The sequence below is a fragment of the Homo sapiens genome, chromosome 8 (genome assembly GCF_000001405.40).
Source record: "Homo sapiens chromosome 8, GRCh38.p14 Primary Assembly".
NCBI lineage: Eukaryota > Metazoa > Chordata > Mammalia > Primates > Hominidae > Homo > Homo sapiens.
The window spans coordinates 78,680,870-78,703,292 of record NC_000008.11 but is presented as its reverse complement, the minus strand read 5'-3'; the positions used below and the strand labels follow the sequence as shown (position 1 = coordinate 78,703,292).

The 22,423-nt window shown below is 34.8% G+C and overlaps 2 protein-coding genes across 5 annotated transcripts in view; one reads left to right on the top strand and one right to left on the bottom strand.

Annotated features, from left to right (window-relative positions):
- Positions 1–22,423, bottom strand: part of ZC2HC1A (zinc finger C2HC-type containing 1A) — a 53,677-nt gene that overhangs the window by 16,473 nt on the left and 14,781 nt on the right. For all 4 annotated transcript variants that reach the window (NR_156423.2, NM_001362969.2, NM_016010.3 and 1 more), the window contains exons 4-7: positions 16,685–16,826; positions 13,920–14,071; positions 5,787–5,886; positions 4,780–4,879 (exon numbers count right to left, since the gene is read on the bottom strand). Coding sequence is in view for 3 of the 4 variants with exons in the window: in NM_001362969.2 (NP_001349898.1) it covers positions 4,780–4,879; positions 5,787–5,886; positions 13,920–14,071; positions 16,685–16,826 (494 nt within the window). In the remaining variant the exon portion in view is untranslated. The remainder of the gene's footprint in view (positions 1–4,779; positions 4,880–5,786; positions 5,887–13,919; positions 14,072–16,684; positions 16,827–22,423) is intronic.
- IL7 (interleukin 7) overlaps positions 1–22,423 on the top strand; it is a 130,420-nt gene that overhangs the window by 102,171 nt on the left and 5,826 nt on the right. The gene's annotated exons all lie outside the window — the stretch shown is intronic.

The window sequence follows — 22,423 nt, the reverse complement described above, 5'->3', positions numbered from 1 at the left end:
AATGGACCTGATAGATATTTACAGAATTCTCCACCCTAAAACAACAGAATAGTGTTCTCATCACCATCTGGCACATACTCTAAAATTGATCACATGGGCCAGGCGCGGTGGCTCATGCCAGTAATCCTAACACTTTGGGAGGCTGAGACAGGCAGATGACCTGAGGTTAGGGGTTTGAGACTGGCCTGGCCAACATGAGGAAACCCTATCTCTACTAAAAATACAAAAATTAGCCAGGTGTGGTGGCACATCCCTGTAATCCCAGCTGCTCGAGAGGCTGAGGCAGGAGAATCGCTTGAACCCAGGAGGCAGAGGTTGCAGCGAGCCAAGATCATGCCACAGCACTATAGCCTGGGCGACAGAGTGAAACTCCATCTCAAAAATAAAATAAAATAAAATAAAATTGATCACATAATTGGATGTAAAACATCCTCAGTAAAAGCAAAAGAACTGAAATCATAACAAATATTCTCTCAAACCACAGAACAATTAAATTAGAAATCAAGATTAAGAAATTAACTCAAAACCCTACAACTACATATAAATTGAATAACCTTCTCCTGAATGATTTTTGGATAAATAATGAAATTAACGCAGAAATCGGGAAGTGCTTTGAAACTTAGAGTACAAAGAAACAACATACCAGACTCTCTAGAACACAGCTAAGGCAGTGTAAAAGGGAAATTTATAGGACTAAATGCCCACATCAAAAGTTAGAAAGATCTCAAGTTAACAACCAAAGATCACAACTAAAAGAACTAGAAAAACAAGAACAAACAAATCCCAAAGCTAGCAGAAGACAAGAAATAGTCAAAATCAGAGCTAAACTGAAGAAGATACATGAAAAACCATTCAAAAGATCAACAAATCTAGGAGCTGCTTTTTAAAAAATTGATAAAATATATAGGCTGCTAGCTACACTAAAAAGAAGAAAATAGAGAATATTCAAATAAACACAATCAGAAATGACAAGAGGGGTATTACCACTTGACCCCATAGAAATACAAGTCATCACAGAATATTATGAATACCTCAATACACATAAACTAGAAAATCTAGAAGAAATGGATAAATTCCTGGACACCTACACCCTCCCAAGACTGAACCAGGAAGAAATTGAATCCCTGAACAGACAAATAACGAGTTCTGAAACTGAGGCAGTAATAAATAGCTTACCAATTGAAAAAAGCCCAGGACCAGATGGATTCACAGCTGAATTCTACTAGATGCACAAAGAACTGGTACAATTCCTACTGATATTATTCCAAAAAATTGAGAAGAAGGGACTCAACTCTAGTTCATTCTATAAGGCCAGCATCACCCTGATACCAAAACCTGGCAGAGACACAACAAAAAAGGAAACTTCAGGCCAATAACCTTGATAAACATCAACAAAATACTAGCAAATCAAATCCAGCAGCACATCAACAAGCTTATCCACCAGGATCAAGTAGGCTTCATCCCTGGGATGCAAGGTTGACTCCGCATATGCAAATCAATAAATGCTATTCATCACAACAAAATTAAAGACAAAAAGCACATGATTATCTTAATAGATGACGAAAAGGTTTTCAATAAAATTCAACATCCCTTCACGTTAAAAACTCTCAATAAACTAGGTATTGCAGGAACATACCTCAAAATATTAGCCACTTATGACGAATCCACAGCCAACATCATACTGAATGGGAAAAAGCTGGAAGCATTCCCCTTGAAAACTGGCACAAGACAAAGATGCCCTTTCTCACCACTCCTATTCAACATAGTTTTGGAAGTTCTGGCCAGTGCAATCAGGCAAGAGAAAGAAATAAAGGGGCATCCAAATAGGAAGAGAGGAAGTCAAACTATCCCTGCTGGCAGATGACATGATCATGTATCTAGAAAACCCCATTATATCAGCCCAAAAGCTTCTTAACCTGATAAGCAACTTTAGCAAAGTCTCAGGATTCTAAAATCAATGTGCAAAAATCACTAGCATTCCTATACACTAATAACAGCTAAGCAGAGAGCCAAATCAGGAACAAACTCCCATTCACAATTGCCACAAAAAGAATAAAATACCTAAGAATACAGGTAACTGGGGAGGTGAAAGATCTATACAAGGAGGACTACAAGCCAATGCTCAAAGAAATTAAAGATGACACAAATAAATGAAAAAATATTCCATGCTCATGGATAGGGAGAATCAATATTGTTAAAATGGTGATACTGCCTAAAGCAATTTATAGATTCAATGCTATTCCCATTAAACTATCAGTGACATTCTTCACAGAACCAGAGAAAACTATTTCAACATTAATATAGAATAAAAAATGAGTCAAACTAGCCAAGGTAATTCTAAGCAAAAAGAACAATGCTGGAGGCATCATGCTGCCTGACTTCCAGCTATACTACAGGGCTACAGTAATCAAAACAGCATGGTACTGGAACATGGACCAGTGGAACAGAATAGCAAGCCCAGAAGTAAGACCACACACCTACTACTATCTGATATTTGACAAACCTGACAAAAATAAGCAATGGAAAAAGGATTCCCTATTTAATAAAAGGTGCTGGGATAATTGGCTAGCAATATGCAGAAGACTGAAACTGGATCCCTTCCTTCCACCATATACAAAAATTAACACAAGATGGATTAAAGACTAATGTAAAACCAAAAACTATAAAAACCCTGGAAGACAACCTAGCCAATACCATTCAGGGCACAGGCAGCAGCAAAGATTTTATAATGAAGATGCCAAAAGCAATTGCAACAAAAACACAAATTGACAAATGGGCTGTAATTAAACTAAAGAGTTTCTGCATAGCAAAAGAAACTATCAACAGAGTAAACAGACAACCTACAGAATGGGAGCAAATATTTGCAAATTATGCATCCAACAAAAGTCTAATACCCAGCATCTATAATTTAACAAACAAACTTACAAGAAAAAAACAAACTTACAAGAAAAAAAGAAACTTACAAGAAAAAAAACAAACAATCCCATTAAAAAGTGGACAACAGACATGAACAGACACTTTTCAAAAGAAGACATACATGCGGTCAACTGTCATATGAAAAAAAGCTCAACATCACTGATCATTAGAGAAACGCAAATCAAAACCACAATGAGGTATTATCTCACACTAGTCAGAATGGCTGCTGTTAAAAAGACAAAAAATAACAGACACTGGTGAGGTTGTGGAGAAAAAAGGAATGCTTATACATTGCTGGTGGGAATGTAAATTACTTCAGCCACTGTGAAAGACAGTGTGGCAATTCCTCAAAGACCTAAAGACAGAACTACCATTTCCCCCAGCAATCCCATTACTGAGTATATACCCAGAAGAATATATATCATTCTATTATAAAGACACACACATATGTTCACTGCAGCACTATTCATAATACTGAAGACATGGAATCAACCTAAATGTCCATCAATGATATACTGGATAAAGAAAATATAGTACATAAACACCATGGAATACTATGCAGCCATAAAAAGGAATTAGATCATGTCCTTAGGAGGGACATGAATGGAGCTGGAGGCCATTATCCTTAGGAAACTAACACAGGAACAGAAAACCAAATACTGCATGTTCTCACTTATAAGTGGAAGCTAAATTATGAGACTACATGGACACATAGAGGGGAACAACACGTACTGGAGTCTTTTGGAGGGTGGAGGATAAGAGGAGAGAGAGAATCAGGAAAAATAACTGATGGGTACTAGGCTTAATACCTGGATGATGAAATAATGCATACAACAAACTCCCTATGACACAAGTTTACCTATGTAACAAACCTGCACTTGTATCCCTGAACTTAAAAGTTAAAATTAAAAAAAGAAAATAATGTGTGCTGTATTTCATTAATCAACTGAACCAGTATATGTAAAGATATAGACATACACCTTCATTCTAATGGTCCTGTGGTAATCCCTTAATTTTCTGATTTATCAAAATAAAAAATAAGTAAATTTCTAAAAATATATGGCTCTATATTAATATCTCCACTGTTACAATTTTTCCCATAACTATTGAAAGTTTAATTATATACTTCATTAAAAGCCATGTAAATATAACAGTAGAAAAATATAAAAAAGGATTAAATTAAGAGAATCACCCCACTGCTTCTATCATACTACACATGGAGTTCAGTAGCTAACATTTTCCTAACAGAATCACCTTATTAAAATTTATATACATACTATAGTTGCAAAATATCCCTTTATAGATTTTCATAATTTACTATTCAAACAAAGCTAGACATTTTGGTGATTTTATTTATTTCTAACATTATAATAAAAACGTGAAAAGAGTCCAGTGTTTACAGTCAAAGATATCCCAATTTATATATTGCGTCTAACTTTAACAGCTATGTGGCTTTGAGCAAACTGAGCTTCTCTGATCTTCTTTTCTCTTGATTATGAAGTGGTTTTAACAAAAATATATGCAAAATGTCTAGCACAGTGCCTGATACATAGTGCTTAGTAAATTATAGTTAGTATAAAAATCGTCAACATTTCAAATTATTTCCTTAGACTAAATTCCCAGAAGTAAAATTATTCAATTTAAGCTATGATTTCTAAGGCTTTTAATACCAGATTATTTTCTAAAATGGTTATACAAATTTAGATACTCAACAGCAGTGAGTGTGCTCCTGACCAGCAAAATGTTAAAAGACAAATGAACTTAGGAAATGAAGATGAATGAAAAAGCAATTATCAAAACATAACAAAACCTTAGTATCGTTTAATTATATACCACTAATAATTATATCCAGTGTAGACTTACCCTGCATGAGGGGCTGCTATCCCTTTATGAGAGGGAGATAAGGTCTGAAGTTTGTTTCCCAAAGAGCTGCTACTTGAAGACACTTTACCTGAAGGAACACCTTATAATAAAAAAGCATTATTTTTAACAATACTCTAAAAAAGGTTACATAAAACAGAGCATCTAACAAAGGAAACAATGCTTTAGTAATAATCTTTGCAACTATAAATCAAGTTTTCATTGAAGACATTTTTTAAATGGCATTTCCAGAGGACGACATATAGCATCCTTCATTTCTAGTTTCTAAATGTCCCTCTTATAATTGATATATAAATAAAGGTACATGTCAGTGGTCAATATCTTCTTCTAACTATTAAGTGTTTGACTACTACGAACAATTGCCCAGTTCAGAAAGCTATGAAGAGCTAGCATAAAATGAGAGGAAAATGCTGGATCAAAGAATCAAGGAAGTACTGGGCTGACTATTCTGAACAGATGACATCAATAACAACATCTGGGGCCAACATTTAAGCTGAAAAAAACAACAAAAAAGTGGCTCGGCACCACGGTGGCTCACGCCAGTAATCTCAGCACTTTAGGAGGCTCAGGTTGGGGGATCACGAGTTCAGGAGATAGAGATTATCCTGGCTAACTTGGTGAAACCCCATCTCTATTAAAAATACAAAAAATTAGGTGGGCATGGTGGCACCCGCCTATAGTCCCAGCTACTCGGGAGGCTAAGGCAGGAGAATCATTTGAACCTGGGAGGCGAAGGTTGCAGTGAGCTGAGATTCCACCACTGCACTCAAACCTGGGCAACAGAGCAAGACTCCGTCAAAAAAAAAAAAAAAAGGTTAAAAGTAGAAACTACTCAAAGTTATCTTATTTTAAAAAATAATTACTTAACTTCTACATCTCTTCTTAATTATAAATCTATCTTAATATTCCAGAATAGACCACTATCTTTATTTCCTGCTCTGCCAACATGGTTTCAAAAACAAATCAAGTTGCTTTTCGGCTATCATTACCTACAACAGTTTTGCCAGCGCCACTTGGCTGCGGTAATCGTGAAGATCCTGATGATGCAGTTCCAGGAGAATTTGACTTTTTAAGTGCGGGTGGCTTATACTAAAATAATGGAAAAAAAATATTAATCAACATCACTTTTTGATTATGGATTGTAAAGTAGTGGTTCAAAACTTAACATTCTTTGGGTTTAGGATTTCAGCCTTACAAGATGAAAAGAGTTGTGGAAATGAATGGTGATGATGGTTGCACATCATTAATGTATTAAAACACTTGTAAGTATACACTGAATTGTATTCTTAAAAACGATTAAGATGGTAAAGTTTATGCTACATGTATTATACCACAGTAAAAAAATAATTGGAAAGAAACAGCTCACATTCCCTTAAATGAACAGTCTTTTCTACTGAATTATACAAATTGAGGAAGTATAGATTAAAATATATCACCTCAAAGGTTTTCCAAACTAGACTCCCTCTCAGATGCTCCACTGCTAAAACAAACTAACAGCAACTTTTTCAGTTCACAGGAAAAAGAAAAAAAGGTCTAACGGAAAAAACTTCCTCAAAGTTAAGATTTTAAACACCAAACAAACATTAGTAGAAAAACTTAGAAACAGCTATGGTGCAGCTTTAAAGGTCAAGATTTTTATATGTTCCTGGATGTGTTTTTATATTCCATATATATAATTCAGCCATATTTCCTACTGATAAAAACCGTAAGATGACCTAGGACCTGAACAAGTTTTACAACAGCTGCATTATGGATTTCCCTGATATGAAGAGAAAGAGCTAATTCTGGCTTCACGATCCTCACCAGACCATCTTAAATTAATGGAGTATGCATTGACCTAAGATCTTTCAGCTTATCTTGGATTTTTATATTTCTCTACTCCTCTAAAGAGACATCTTTATTAATTTTATTTTACTTTCTCTTTTTGAGCCAAATTTTGCTCAGTTACCTGACAATAAAAGTATCTTACTGATCACCTGCTTCAATAGCAAGAAATGAACTTGCCCAGGGTTATGCCCCAACTTCACAGCAGAGCAGGAATTTAGACTCATGCTGGTTCTAGCCCAATGCTTCAACCATAAGGTGAAAATCATACTTGCATATGTGCTTGGAATGTAGCCCAATACGGTATCAAGATTTCATGTGAAAAATTGGTTTTAACGGGCTGGGCACGGTGGCTCATGCCTGTAATCCCAGCACTTTGGAAGGCCGAGGCAGGTGGATCACAAGGTCAGGAGATCGAGACCATCCTGGCTAACACAGTGAAACCCCGTCTCTACTAAAAATACAAAAAATTAGCCGGGCGTGGTAGCGGGCGCCTGTAGTCCCAGCTACTCAGGAGGCTGAGGCAGGAGAATGGCGTGAACCCAGGAGGCGGAGCTTGCAGTGAGCCGAGATCACGCCACTGCACTCTAGCCTGGCAACAGAGCAAGACTCCGTCTCAAAAAAAAAAGAAAGAAAAATTGGTTTTAAATTATCATTTTCAAAAATCAAATCATATTTTATAACCAATAATCAATATAAAATTTAAGATGCACTACTACCAAAAATAGCTAGCTAAAACCAATTTTGAAGTCAAACATTATATCCTTCTAACTCTGTATGTGAATTTTTAAAAAGTTAAATCTTGATAAACGGTCACACAAAAAAAGTAGCATTCACGTTTTGCAGTATTATGCCAGCACCTGAAAAATAGAAAACCAAAACCTTCAGTAAATGTCTTTCAAATTAACAAATGTCTATGAGACTTTGGGAGATGAACCATATAATGATACTGATTTTTTAAAACCTTAGAGGTGCTTCTGGTTTAAAAGGGCATCTGGGCCACTATATATATATAGAGAGAGAAAGACAGACATTAGAAAAGACTTAAAATTATAGCAATAGGGAAAACAAGCTCTAACAAAAATTTGTTAAACTACGAGAGTTATGTCTATAAAAACAGAGTTAATAAAATCAGATTAGGAAACAAGACTGCTGACCCACTCAAACTGTACAATCAAAAAAGAGCAAAATGATTAGCATAAACAAAGTGCGCTGATGTGGCCTATTACATATTGAGAGGTCAAGTCTTTAGGCAGGAAACAGGCAGAAAGGTTCCTGGTAGCATTACATAATGGAGACTAAAGATTTTTATGTATATAATAGGAATTATTAACAACTTAATGGCTTCCAAATACTTAGGCAGAACATGTCTCCAAAAAATGTTTTGCTTTCTCCCTCTCTATATAAGACTTCCCACTATTTTACTAAATTTTATTGTTGAGTTTTCTGAGCTATTCAGAACCTAGAACAACCTTACTTATATCCTATAATATTTCCCATTACTTTAGACAAGAACTAGTCAGGTTAGTTTCCTTTCCGAAAACTGCTTGTTTAAAACATTATTCACCTCCCCCTCGGTATCTTGCTGTTTTCCCTGACCTAGATAATCTGACTCCTTCCTTTCTGAGCTATATTCTATCTATTCTACAACATCAAGCTGAAAGTCTACTGGTATATAAAGACTTTCAGAATGACTCTATCAATCAACGGTTTTGTGTGCTATTATGAAGACTTTCAGAATGACTCTATCAACCAACAATTTTGTATAAATCCATTTTAATGACCAGGAGAATGAAATGATTTTATACAATTACATTCAACGTATTTCTTTCATTCATTATTATTTGGTAATTATTATTTTGTGTTTTTATGCTGCTCACAAATCTCATACATTTCCTTACAAAAATATTTATACAAAGACTAATGACTAATGAAATTGGAAAAAGTCTAAAGAACTTGTAGGACATCCATTTCTGACAAAATGGTAGAACTTACTATTTAGACCAACCTTTCAATTAACAACTAAAAATGCTCAGGAAAGAATAAAAAATCATTGTAAAAGCACTGAATGTCAAATGAGAGGAAAAGAAATTTCCAGGCCAAACCATATGGAATTGTAATAACGACCTGAACATCACATGGATTTGCTGTATAAATTTGCATTATTAGGCTGGTCAAGCAAACTAAGCCAATAATTTAATTTCAAATGTTTCCAGACTGATAAGACTCATAGATACCTAAAAGGAATAAGCACAGCACACATCTTCTCTGGAAGAAGGCATGAATGATAATCATGAATACCGTTTTACTTGTAACAAGCAGCAAAGGTCAATAATAATCAGGGAAATAAGGATATAAGGAAACTGAATGAGAAAAAAAAAAAAACAAGGAACATATCCATACAAGTCACTTGATATTGCTATAATTATCAGACACACATTACAAACAACTATGAGTACTACATTTAAAGAAATAGCAGACAACTATGAAAATATTAATGGAAAATTGCAAACTATAAAAAATAGGAAATTAGAAAAATAGCCAGCCAACTGCAAGAAATTAAAAACACAAAACAGAGATATAGACCAATGGAACAGAACTGAGCACTCAGAAATAATGTCACACATCTACAACTATCTGATCTTTGACAAACCTGACAAAAACAAGAAATGTGGAAAGGATTCCCTATTTAATAAATGGTGCTGGGAAAACTGGCTAGCCATATGTAGAAAGCTGAAACTGGATCCCTTCCTTATACCTTACACAAAAATTAATTCAAGATGGATTAAAGACTTAAGTGTTAGACCTAAAACTATAAAAACCCTAGAAGAAAACCTAGGCAATACCATTCAGGACACAGGCATGGGCAAGGACTTCATGTCTAAAACACCAAAAGCAATGGCAACAAAAGCCAAAATTGACAAATGGGATCTAATTCAACTAAAGAGCTTCTGCACAGCAGAAGAAACTACCATCAGAGCGAACAGGCAACCTACAGAATGGGAGAAAATTTTTGCAATCTACTCATCTGACAAAGGGCTAATATCCAGAATCTACAATGAACTCCAACAAATTTACAAGAAAAAAACAAACAACCCCATCAAAAAGTGGGCAAAGGATATGAACAGACACTTCTCAAAAGAAGACATTTATGCGGCCAAAAGACACATGAAAAAATGTTCATCATTACTGGCCATCAGAGAAATGCAAATCAAAACCACAATGAGATACCATCTCACACCAGTTAGAATGGCGATAATTAAAAAATCAGGAAACAACAGGTGCTGGAGAGGATGTGGAGAAATAGGAACACTTTTACACTGTTGGTGGGACTGTAAACTAGTTCAACCATTGTGGAAGTCAGTGTGGTGATTCCTCAGGGATCTAGAACTAGAAATACCATTTGACCCAGCCATCCCATTACTGGGTATATACCCAAAGGACTATAAATCATGCTGCTATAAAGACACATAAACACGTATGTTTATTGCGGCACTATTCACAATAGCAAAGACTTGGAACCAACCCAAATGTCCAACAATGATAGACTGGATTAAGAAAATGTGGCACATATACACCATGGAATACTATGCAGCCATAAAAAATGATGAGTTCATGTCCTTTGTAGGGACATGGATGAAGCTGGAAACCATCATTCTCAGCAAACTATCACAAGGACAAAAAACCAAACACCGCATGTTCTCACTCATAGGTGGGAATTGAACAATGAGAGCACTTGGACACAGGAAAGGGAACATCACACCCCAGGGCCTGTTGTGGGGTGGGGGGAGTGGGGAGGGATAGCATTAGGAGATATACTCCATGTAAATGACGAGTTAATGGGTGCAGCACACCAACATGGCATATGTACACGTATGTAACAAACCTGCACGTTGTGTACATGTACCCTAAAACTAAAGTATACTACTAATAATAAAAAAAACAAATTAGAAGCTCAATGTTGGAGGGGTGAAGTGGCTATATAACCATCCTACAGGTAGCAGCAATTACAACAAAAAGATTACTGGAAACCACTGGAAAACCTACACTGTACACCCTGGATTTAACCACCTACACTTAGACCTCCTTACTGCTCCCCTCCTAAAAAAGGAAAGAAAGTAAAAACACTTTGCAAAAGAACAAAACAGAAATTGTTATATATTACCTACCATGTCATGTCTAGTTTTCAACCAAACATTACCAGCAAAGAAAGAGAAAACATGATCCATATTTAGCAAAAATGTCAAGTCAACAGAAACTAACTGCAAATGACCACAGGTGGCAGATTTAGTAGTTAAGGATTAAAAAATAGTAATAATAAATAAGACTGAACTATAGGGATTGGAATTGGAGAAATTAAGCCAGGCACAGGCATGTGAATACCACATGTACTCACTTACATGTAGAATCTAAAACAATGGAACTCTAAGCAGCAGAGAACTGAATGGTAGTACCAGAGGCTAAAGGGAGGGGGAAAGGGAAGAAAGAACAAGGAGATGATGATGATGGTCAAAGGGGTAAGTTTTTGTTGTGGTTTTTATTTTGAGATATACTGCATAGCATGGTGAATACAGTAAATGATAATGTATTATACCTTTCAAAATTGCAAAGAGAAAAAATTTTCAAATGTTCTTACCACAAAAAATGGTAAGTACTTGAGGTGATAGTATGTTAATTAGCTTGATTTAGTCATTGCACATTGTATCCATGAATCATGGTATCACTTTGTACCCCATAAATATATACATCTATAATCTGCACGTTTACAATTTCAATAAATATATAAATAAGGCAGTAAGTATAACAATACACATCAAGAGTACTGATAGGCCTATAATATCTAGAGTTACATATATGAAACAATAGCACAAACCTGTCAGAGGTAAATAAAAATATCCATAGATATGGGTAAGTCAAAGATGCATTTTTTATTCCTAGAGCAATCACTTTTCAAAAATGCAAAGAATTACAGCTAGAAAGCCAAAAAAGAAAATGAAATCTTATGAAGACAAAAGGGAAAAGAAATGGTGAATTTTTAAAAAAATTACAAAAGGAGAAAACAGATGGCAGACCTAAACATAAGCAAATCAATAATTGCACCAAATGTAAATGACAGGCAATTTTGACCAACAAGATGAAGTTACTAGATTTGATTTTAAAAAAAGAAATACAAAAACCAATTATAGCAATGCAAAAACACATATATAAGGAATAGAGAGAAAAGAAGTGAGCATAATTATGTTAAAATGGCTATATTCTTATCACATGAAACATACTGCAACACAACAAATATTGCCACAGACAAAAAGGAACAATTTATAATGATAAAAGTGCCAATAAATGGGGAAGATGTAACAATTTATAAATGCTATGCAAACAATAAGAGAACTTCAAAATTTTGAATTAAAAGCTGGCAAAACTAAAGAGAAATGTAAGAAAAGTCATAATTTTAACATATTTCCCTCAGTAATTGATGGAACATCATACACAATGGTGAAAAACAATGCTTTTCACCTAAGAACAGAAAAACAAGGCAAGGAGGTCCACTGTCATCACCTCTATTCAACATTAGTCTAGCCCATGCAGTAAATCACAAAAAAGAAATAAAAGCCAAAAGGTTGGAGGGAAGAAAATAAAACTGTCCTTATTTATAGGTGACATGACTGTATACATAGAAAAGTCCTAAGAAATCTACAAGAAGACTATTATTAGTAAATGAATTTAGGAAAATAGCAGGGTATAAGATTAATATACAAAAATCCAGTTTTTCTAAACAAGCAAAAAACAACTAAAAATGAAATAAAATAAAATTCCATTTACAAGATCATCCAAATACATGATATACTTGGAAAATCTAACAAAACATGTGTATGACCTATATAATATACACTACAAAACACTGCTAAAATAAAACCTAAATGATCAGAAAATATAACAGGTTCATGAACTGAACAACTCAATATTGTTAAAATGTCAATTCTTCTCAAATTGATTTATGAATTTAATATAATCTCAAATGCTAGAAGTCATTTTTTGTAGATGTTGACAAGTCAATTATAAAATGTATATATAAATGTAAATCAAGAATGGCCAAAGTTTTTTTTTTTTTTTTGAGACAGTCTCTTGCTCTGTCGCCCAAGCTGGAGTGCAGTGGCATGATCTAGGCTCACTGCAAGCTCCTCCTCCCAGGTTCACACCATTCTCCTGCCTCAGCCTCCCAAGTAGCTGGGACTACAGGCGCCCGCCACCACGTCCAGCTAATTTTTTGTATTTTTATTAGAGACGGGGTTTCACCGTGTTAGCCAGGATGGTCTTTATCTCCTGACAATCGTGATCTGCCCGCCTTGGCCTCCCAAAGTGCTGGGATTAAAGGCGGGAGCCACTGCACCCGGCTGCCAAAGAAAATTTTAAAAGGAATTCAAGTAGGAAAATTTAGACTACTTGATTTTAAGGCTTATTAAGGTTCACTATTCAGTATAGTGATAATGCGGTATTGACTAAAGGACAGGGATATAAATCAATGGAACAGAACAGCATGTCCTGAAATAAACCCATACATTTATATTCATCTGATTTCCAACCAAGGTGCCTCAGCAATTCATCAGGGAAAGAAAAGTCCTTTAAACAAATCGTGCTAAAACAATAGAATATCCACATAGAAAACAAAAGGAAAAACTGCCCCTTACTTCACACTATACACAAATACCAGCCTGAAGTGATTTACAGATGTAAGAGCTAAAAGCATAAAACTTATAGAAGACATGGGAGAAAAATCTTTGCAATCCTAGTATAGGCAAAGATTTCTTTGATACAAGATAAGGAGCATAAATCATAAAGAATTAATAAATTGGACTTAATCACATTTTAAAATTTTTGCCCCTCAAAAGACATCCTTAAGAAAATGGAAAGCCAAGTCACAGGATGGGAGAAAATATTCTTAATATACATCTGAGAAAAGACCAAGAATATGTAACAAGGTCTTTCACTCGATAATCTAAAAACATGTATACATATATATAATGTTTTTATATATTTTATATATACAAAACGTGCTAAGACAATAGAATATCCACATAGAAAAAGGGAACAATTGCCCCTTCACACTATACACAATTAGCTTGAAATGATTTACAGATATAAGAGCTAAAAGCATACAACTTTTATAGATATATAAAACTATATATCTATAAAAGCAGGTGAGAAAAATATAGTCTAATGTCATGAAAAGCATAAACAATAATCTATGAATGTCCATGAGCCATTTTCTCGTTTATAGCAATTATTAAAACTGAACTTACCACCTGTGTCCGAGAAGTTGGTTTTCCTTTGGTATCTGTAGAAAATTTCCCTTTATTACTAATACGTGCTGCCTGTTCTTTACAGAAATTTATATGTCTATCAGCTGCATTTTCATTGAATCTCCTCTGACAATATGGACATTGAATATAATCTATAACAGATAAAAACGGAAACAGATTAATAGCATAGTACTTGAAACGGACATTAAAAAATCTTAAGTTTCTATGCAGTCATTCAAAAAATATAAGTAATAACATCTGATAAGCAAAAATTCCCATATCCTTATAACTACCCAGTTTTACTTGTCTAAACTTAGTAAAGAGTTAAAAAAAAAAAAAGTCTGCTGGTACATGACTTCCAATTTTCTTCTAGCTTTGAATCAAATGTGTGAAGGAAAAAAAACAAAAGATAAATCCTTAGTACAAAAGAGTAAGCAGAGGAAAAACGTTATTTCTTTTTTGCCTTTATGTTTTCATTTATAATGGATACATACTTTATATAGCAGACTAGTTAGGAAGTAATAATACATGACGTTAAAATACATTTTAAAATACAGGCTCATCTATTAAAATTTTTTATTTCATCAAATGGAAAACTGTCAAGAAATAGTTTACTTATCTTTAAAGTGCTATTTTCTCTTAAAAGTCCCAACAGATGGAAGAAGTGATTAAAATATATCTCACTGACATAATTCAAATTTAAGAAACAGCAAATGTTTCCAAGATAAAATATCTTCCCAAAATGCAAAGCATACTGTAAATTAAACTTCTTTTGAAATTATTCCAGAACCATATTTTGTAGCATTGTAAAATAACTAAATGAGACACTGGGAATAAATGTAAAAATCTGGTAGTGTCAAAAAAGAATCTTAATTTAACAGGTTTACAACTTATTTTAACAGGTTTACTTTTTTGATACAGAGTTTGCCCTTTTCAATTTATATTCATCTGAGCTCAAAAATTTGTCCTCCTTACTACTGGAGTAGGTCTTAAACCTCTCATAAGAAAGAAATAAGCTGTTTTTGTCAGGCCCAAAAGATTAAAAAAACTTCTAAAGCCCAAACGATCCTGAAGAACTGGTACCCTCTCACTCTCTTATATTAGACATGAGAAATGTAGCTATGTAGAGTTAAGACACAATATCTAAATATCTTCAAAGCAGAGAGAAAACTCAAGTTCATGAAGAAAATAAAAGGTAGTATTAAAAGAGGCCCAGGATCAGTTAAAGCATACCAGAAACATTCATTCATATAAGTTAATTATTAATACTCTAGAACAGGGTTTCGCAAAGTATGGCCCATGGGCCAAATCCAGCCTGCCTGTTGCCTGTCTTTGTAAATGAAGTTTTACGGAAACACAGCCATGCTCATTTTATATTTATATATATATAATTTATATATATTTATATATAAATATAGATATAGTTTATATATAAAAATATAGATATAAATAATTATATATTTATATAAATATATATAATTTATTATATAAATATATATTTATTATATAGATATATATTATATAAATATATATATAATTTATTACATGAATATATATATTTATTACATGAATATATATAATGTATTACGTAAATATATATATAATGTCTTACGTAAATATATATAATGTATTACATAAATATATATAATGTATTACGTAAATATATATATAATGTATTACGTAAATATATATAATGTATTACGTAAATATATATAATGTATTACGTAAATATATATATAATGTATTACGTAAATATATATAATGTATTATGTAAATATATATAATTTATTACGTAAATATATATAATTTATTATGTAAATATAAAATTTATTATATAAATATATAATTTATTATATAAATATATATAATTTATTATATAAACATATATAATTATATATAAATATATATATAATTATGTATATATAGTCTATGGCTTATTTGTTGCAATAGAAACCTTATGGCATATAAAATCTAAGATATTTACTATATCTGTAGATATACTATATCTCTCCTCTACAATAAAATGTCAAAAACGATCATATCTAGATTTGCTAAAGAACTTTCTCTTTGTTAGAAAATAAATCCCAATCTAGAGTACTAACATAGCATTAATGTGGCTACCCTGTTACATTAACAACCTCTTTAGGCTGCTCTAATAAGGAATGTCAAAGTGTCAACTTTGTCACTTTAAGTTTTTCGGTATCTCAGTATCTCATACAAGGTTGCAAAAATCTTGCTTTGCTTTTAGTAACAATGACTCAAGCAACTTTTATCTGCTCAATGAGAAAAAATTTAACAATATACAAATTTAAGCCATAAATGTAGTCGAGCCACATGAATTATACATTTTAGGAAAATTATGATTTTTTTTATATCAATCTCAGATGAGAAGATACCAAGGAACCAGGCAACATAATTATATGACTCCTGCTGAATGACTACATTTCAATCCGCAGTGAGCATGGTTAAAATATTTCCTGGAATACTCACATTTAATAGTTACTATAATAATTTTTAAATGATATTATAATGCCTTGTTTAAATAAAAGTATTAAAATAAAAACATAATACACTTCCATGTTCTAAATTAATGTCTTTATAAGCCTACATGACTAGATTACCACCACCATTTTACACCAAATTTTAAAGATTATGCCTCATAACACTCCATGATTGTAAGTTAAGCTTAACAAGTGAAAATTTATAAAAACTCTATCATTATTTTCTTTCCACATGAACATTTCTGTCAACAATATTCCAAATACCAGGATCATAAGAAGGTGGAGGAGGAGGAGGAAGTTTGCCACCCTCTTTGAGGGCCTGATCAAGGCCTTTAGCTGCTCTTATGGTAGCAATGAATTCTTCATGTTTCCTTCTCCAATTAGATGGTTTCTTTGGTGGTTCTGGCTATAAATAAATAAATAAATAAATAAATAAATAAACAAACAGTATCTTTTTAGTATATTGAAATAAAACATCAGATAATTCCATATCATTTTAAATGTTCTCTTATCAGGAGTCCTTAAATGATATCCTTCTCAAATTTATAATTTTAAAGAGAAACTTTATGCAACTACATTGCAATTTTATATTCAATTTCTTAATGTAAGTGTCATCGCGAAAGACACTACTAAACTGCCTTCTGTAGGTGTTACATCTATTTATCCTCCCACTAAGACTGTTGCTGTGGTTCAATGTTCCCTCCAAAACTCATGTTAAAATGTAATTGCCATTATAACAGTAGTACGAGGTGGGGACATCTGAAAGGTGATTAAGTCATTATGGTTCCGCCCTCATGATGGATTAATGCCATTATCCCAGTAGCAGATTAGTTATTGAGGGAGTGGGTTCCTGATAAAAAAGTAAGTCTGGACCCCACTTTCTGTTTCACATGCACACCTGCCCTTCCGTCATGGGATTATGCAGCAAGAAGGCCCTCGCCAGATGCTAGCACTATGCTCCTGGACTTCCCAACCTCCAGAACAGTGAGAGATACATTTCTTTTCTTTATAAATTATCCAGTTTGTGGTACTCTATTACAGCAGCAGAAAAGAGACTAACACAGTGTATTTCCCTGTTTTTCCATAGATCCTCTAACAGAATATATTATCTATCATTTGGGTTTTGAACCGATTAGAAATATGAAAAATAGTCCTCACTTTGTGGATTTAATTGGATTTTCTCTTATAATGATTGAGACTGAGCACCTTTTTAAATTACTAAGAATCATTTAATGTATTGTCTTTACTGTGGACTATTTATATTCCTGCTCAACTTATTTGTTGAGTTATTGGCCTTTAATGTAATAATTTCTAGTAATTGTTTATAGGAAACTATTCCCTCCCTCCCACCAACAATCTGTCTTTTGACCTTGTCTTTGGGTAGTCTTTTACTATGCATAATTATGTTTTAATTACAGTTTAATTTACTGATCTTTTATGGCCTCTGGATCTGCATTAGCCAGGTGCAACCTCACACCAAGGAAAAATAAAATTTTCCCATGCTTCCTTCTACAACTTCCAGTTTCAATTAAAATTTCCTAAATATTTTATTCATGTGGAATTTATTCTGCTGTGTGGAGTGACAAATTGAATCAAATTTCGCTTATTTTTTTAACATGGCTATGCAGTTGTCCTATCCTTTAGTGACTCTCCCCTCCCTGTCCCCCCACAACAGAATTGAAATAACACCTGTATAATCACTAAATTCCTTTCTGAATTTGGGCCTATTTCTGAACTTTCTCTTCCATTCCACGGTTCTGACTATCCTTTGTTAGTACCAGTATTTTCAATATTGAGACATTATATTTTAACATCTGATAGGCTAATATTTTATTAAGCTTTTTTAATCTTTTCCTAGTTCATGTATATAAATTTTTTGATGTAAACTTTTGAATCAACTTGTCTAATTTTTAAAAATTAAGAATCACATTTATAAACAAGTTGAGAAACTTAAAATCTTTATTAGGTCGAGTCTACCTATACAAGAATATGGGATATATTTCTATTTGAAAAACAGTTCATTTTTATCTTTCAGTAGTATTTTTTTACTTTGTGGAAGTCTTGTATCTTTATTATAAAGCTTATTCCTAAATATTTCATACTTTGTGTTGTTCTTTTGCAGAGGGTCCTTTCCTCATTGCTATGTCTCAAGAGCCTGTTTGCTGAGTATATGAAGCTTAGTTATTTTTGCATAGTAACCTACCACATTACTTCCCTTTACTCCTGTTGTTTGTAGTAATTTCTTACTTAATTCTCGGGTTTTCCAGGTATATCATATCTTCTAATAAAGATGATTTTATCTAGTCTTTTCAAATATCTATTGATATAGTTTGGCTGTGTCCCCACCCAAATCTCATCTTGAATTGTAGCTCCCATAAACTCCACCTGTTATGGGGGTACTCGGTAGGAGGTAATTGAATCACGGGGGCAGGTTTCTCCCATGCCGTCCTCATGACAGTGAATGAGTCTCATGAGATCTGATGGTTTTACAAAGGGCAGTTCCCCTGCACACACGCTCTTGCCTGCCATCATGTAAGATGTGCCTTTGATTCTTCTTCACCTTCCACCATGATTGTGAGGCCTCCCCAGACACGTGAAACTGAGTCTGTTACACCTCTTTTTCTTTATAAATTGCCTAGTCTCAGGTATTTCTTCATAGCAGTATGAAAATGGACTAATACAGTAAGTTGGTACTGGTGGAGTGGGGTACTGCTATTAAGATACCCCAAAATGTGTAAGCAACTTTGGAACTGGGTAACGAGCAGAGGCTGAAACAGTTTGGAGGGCTCAGAAGACAGAAAAATGTGGGAAAGTTTGGAACTTCCTAGAAACTTGTTGAATGGTTTTGACCAAAATGCTAATAGTGATATGGACAACAAAGTCCAGGCTAAGGTGGTCTCAGATGGAGATGAAGAACTTGCTGGGAAATGGAGCAAAGGTGATTCTTGTTATGCTTTAGCAAAGAGACTGGTAGCATTTTGCTGTTGCAATAGAGATCTGTGGCTTTAAACTTGGGAAAGATGATTTAAGGTTTCTGGTGGAAGAAATTTCTGGGGAGCAAAGCATTCAAGAGGAAGCAGAATATATAAGTTTGGAAAATTTGCAGCCTAATGATGTAACAGAAAAGAAAAATCCATTTCCTGGGGAGAAATTCATGGCTGCTGAAAAAATTTGCATGAGTAACAAGTAATGGAATGTTAATCACCAAGACAAAGGGAAAAATGCCTCCAGGGCACATCAGAGACCTTCAGGGCAGCCCCTCCCATCACAGGTTCAGAGGCCTAGAAGGGAAAAATGGTTTCCTAGGCCAGGTCCAGGGCCCCCCTACTGTGTGCAGCGTAGGGATTTGGTGCCCTGCGTCCCAGCTGCTCCAGGCATGGCTAAAAGGGGCCAAGGTACAAGTTGAGCCATGGCTTCAGAGGTGCAAGCCCAAAGCCTTGGCAGCTTCCACATGGTGTTGAGCCCACAGGTGCACAGAAATCAAGAGTTGAGGTTTGGGAGCCTCTGACTAGATTTCAGAGAATGTATGGAAACACCTGGATGTCCAGGAAGAAGTTTGTTTCAGGGGCGGGGCCCTCATGGAGAACCTCTGCTAGGGCACTGCAAAAGGGAAATAAGAGATTGGAGTCCACACACAGAGGCCCCACTGGGGCATGCCTAGTGGAGCTGTGAGAAGAGGGCCACCATCCTCCAGACCCCAGAATGGTAGATCCACCGACAGGTTGCATTGTGTGCCTGGAAAAGTTGCAGACACTCAATGCCAGCCCAAGAAAGCAGCCAGGAGGAGGGGGGCTGTACCCTGCAAAGACAAAGGGGTAGAGCTGCCCAAGGCCATGGGAGCCCATCTTTTGAACCAGCATGACCTGGATGTGAGACATGGAGTCAAAGGAGATCGTTTCAGAGCTTTAAGGTTTAATGACTGCCCTCATGGATTTCAGACTTGCATGGAGCCTGTGGCCCCTTTGTTTTGGCCCATTTCTCCAATTTAGAATGGGTGTATTTACCCAATGTCTGTATCCCTATTGTATCTAGGAAGTAACTAACTTGTTTTTGATTTTAGAGACTCACAGGCAGAAGAAACTTGCCTTGTCTCAGATTGAACTGTGGACTTTAGGGTTAATGCTGAAATGAGTTAAGACTTTGGGGGACTGTTGGGAAGGCATGATTGGTTTTGAAATGTGAGGGCATGAAATTTGGGAGTGGCCAGGGACAGAATGATATGGTTTGGCTGTGTCCCCATACAAATCTCATCTTGAATTGTAGTTCTCATAATCCCCACAGGTTGTGGGAGGAACCCATTGGGAGGTAATTGAATCACGGGGGCAGGTTTTTCCTGTGTTGTGCTCGTGATAGTGAATAAGTCTTGCGAGATCTGATGGTTTTATTAAAAAGGGAAGTTCCCCTGCTCTTGTCTGCCGCCATGTAAGATGTGACTTTGTTCCTTCTTCACCTTCCACCATGATGTGAGGCCTCCTCGGCCACATGGAAGTTTAAGTCCCTTAAACCTCCTTTTCTTTATAAATTACCCAGTCTCCGATATTTCTTAATAGCAGTAGGAAAATGGACTAATACATCTATGCATCCAATTTCTTCTTCTTATCTAACTGTATTGGCTGGCACTTATGGTATTGGTTACAGTTTAACCTTCTCCTTGATTTTAATGGGAACTGCCTCTAGTGTCCTCCACTAAACATGATGCTGGCTCACATGCTACAAAGATTTATTTTGTAATATTATTGAGATACCCAACTATTCCTACTATGTCTATATTTTTAAAATCAAGAATTATGTGTTGAATCCACAAAGTCAAAAGATGGTACTTTAAAAGATGGCTAGGTATGACGGCTCATGCCTGTAATCCCCACATTTTGGGAGGTGAAAGTGGCAGAAATCACCTGAGGCCAGGAGTTCAACACCAGCCTGGTCAACATAGTAAGATCCCTGTCTCAAAAAAAAGAAAAAAAAAAAAAAGAAAGAAAAAGGAAAAAAGAGAACTCAAATTATGAAGGAATTAAAAATAATACACAAATATGAAAAAGACAAGAAGATATTATAAAGAAATTGTATGCCAATAAATTTAATAATTATGACAAAATGGGCAATGTCCTTGGAAAACACAACAAAACAGATACCAGAACAAATATAAAATCAAAATGTCATTTATTTTAGAAAATATTTTCCTTCCCACAAAGAAACCTCCTGGCTCAGCTACCTTTAATTTTTAATTTTTGTAGACATATAAGAAAAATCTAGCATCAATATTACACAAACTCTTTCAGGGAATAGAAAACAACGAAACAACTTTCCAAACAGTGTTCCGAGAGCAGCAAAACTCTGACAAAAAGAATGACATTATCTACTTCTCTGATTAATATAAATGCAAAAATCTTAAACGTCAGCAAATTTAGATGTTTGAGATTACTGACTCTTTAACATTTCTTATTTTACAGCAAAATATCTGATCACAACATTCATCTGCTCTGTGATTATTACTCATCTACTGATGTTCTGCTGTTCTTTTCTACCTTTTTTCTCATAGTATCTTTTATCAATGCTGAGCTAATATATTTTCTATTATTCATCGCTTCTATTATTCATTTCTACTATTCAGCATAGATTTCCTGGTACAGCTATTTGCAAGAAGTTTTAGGGAGGAGAGGCCCAGGGTAGCTATACAAACTAGCAGCTCTCCTCTCTGTTGCAACAGATTCAGACTAGTTCCTGCAAATAAGGCGTCTCTGTGTAATTACACCCTGCTTCCCTCAGATCCTATGAGAACCACTTCAAAAAAAAAAAAGGTCACAGCCTTTTATGTTAGGCCCCTCATCTTCAGGAAAGGGATTTTCACTAATGTTTTCTAAGGGCCTCTGCCACTAGGCCTCCTCAACTCTCTGTTCCTACTCCCACCATTCTCTCCCTCCTGACTTTTATACAATTTCAGCCCTGCTCATTCCAGCTGGTAGCTATCCAAATTCCTACAGCTCCTCCCAGTTTCTGTCTTGC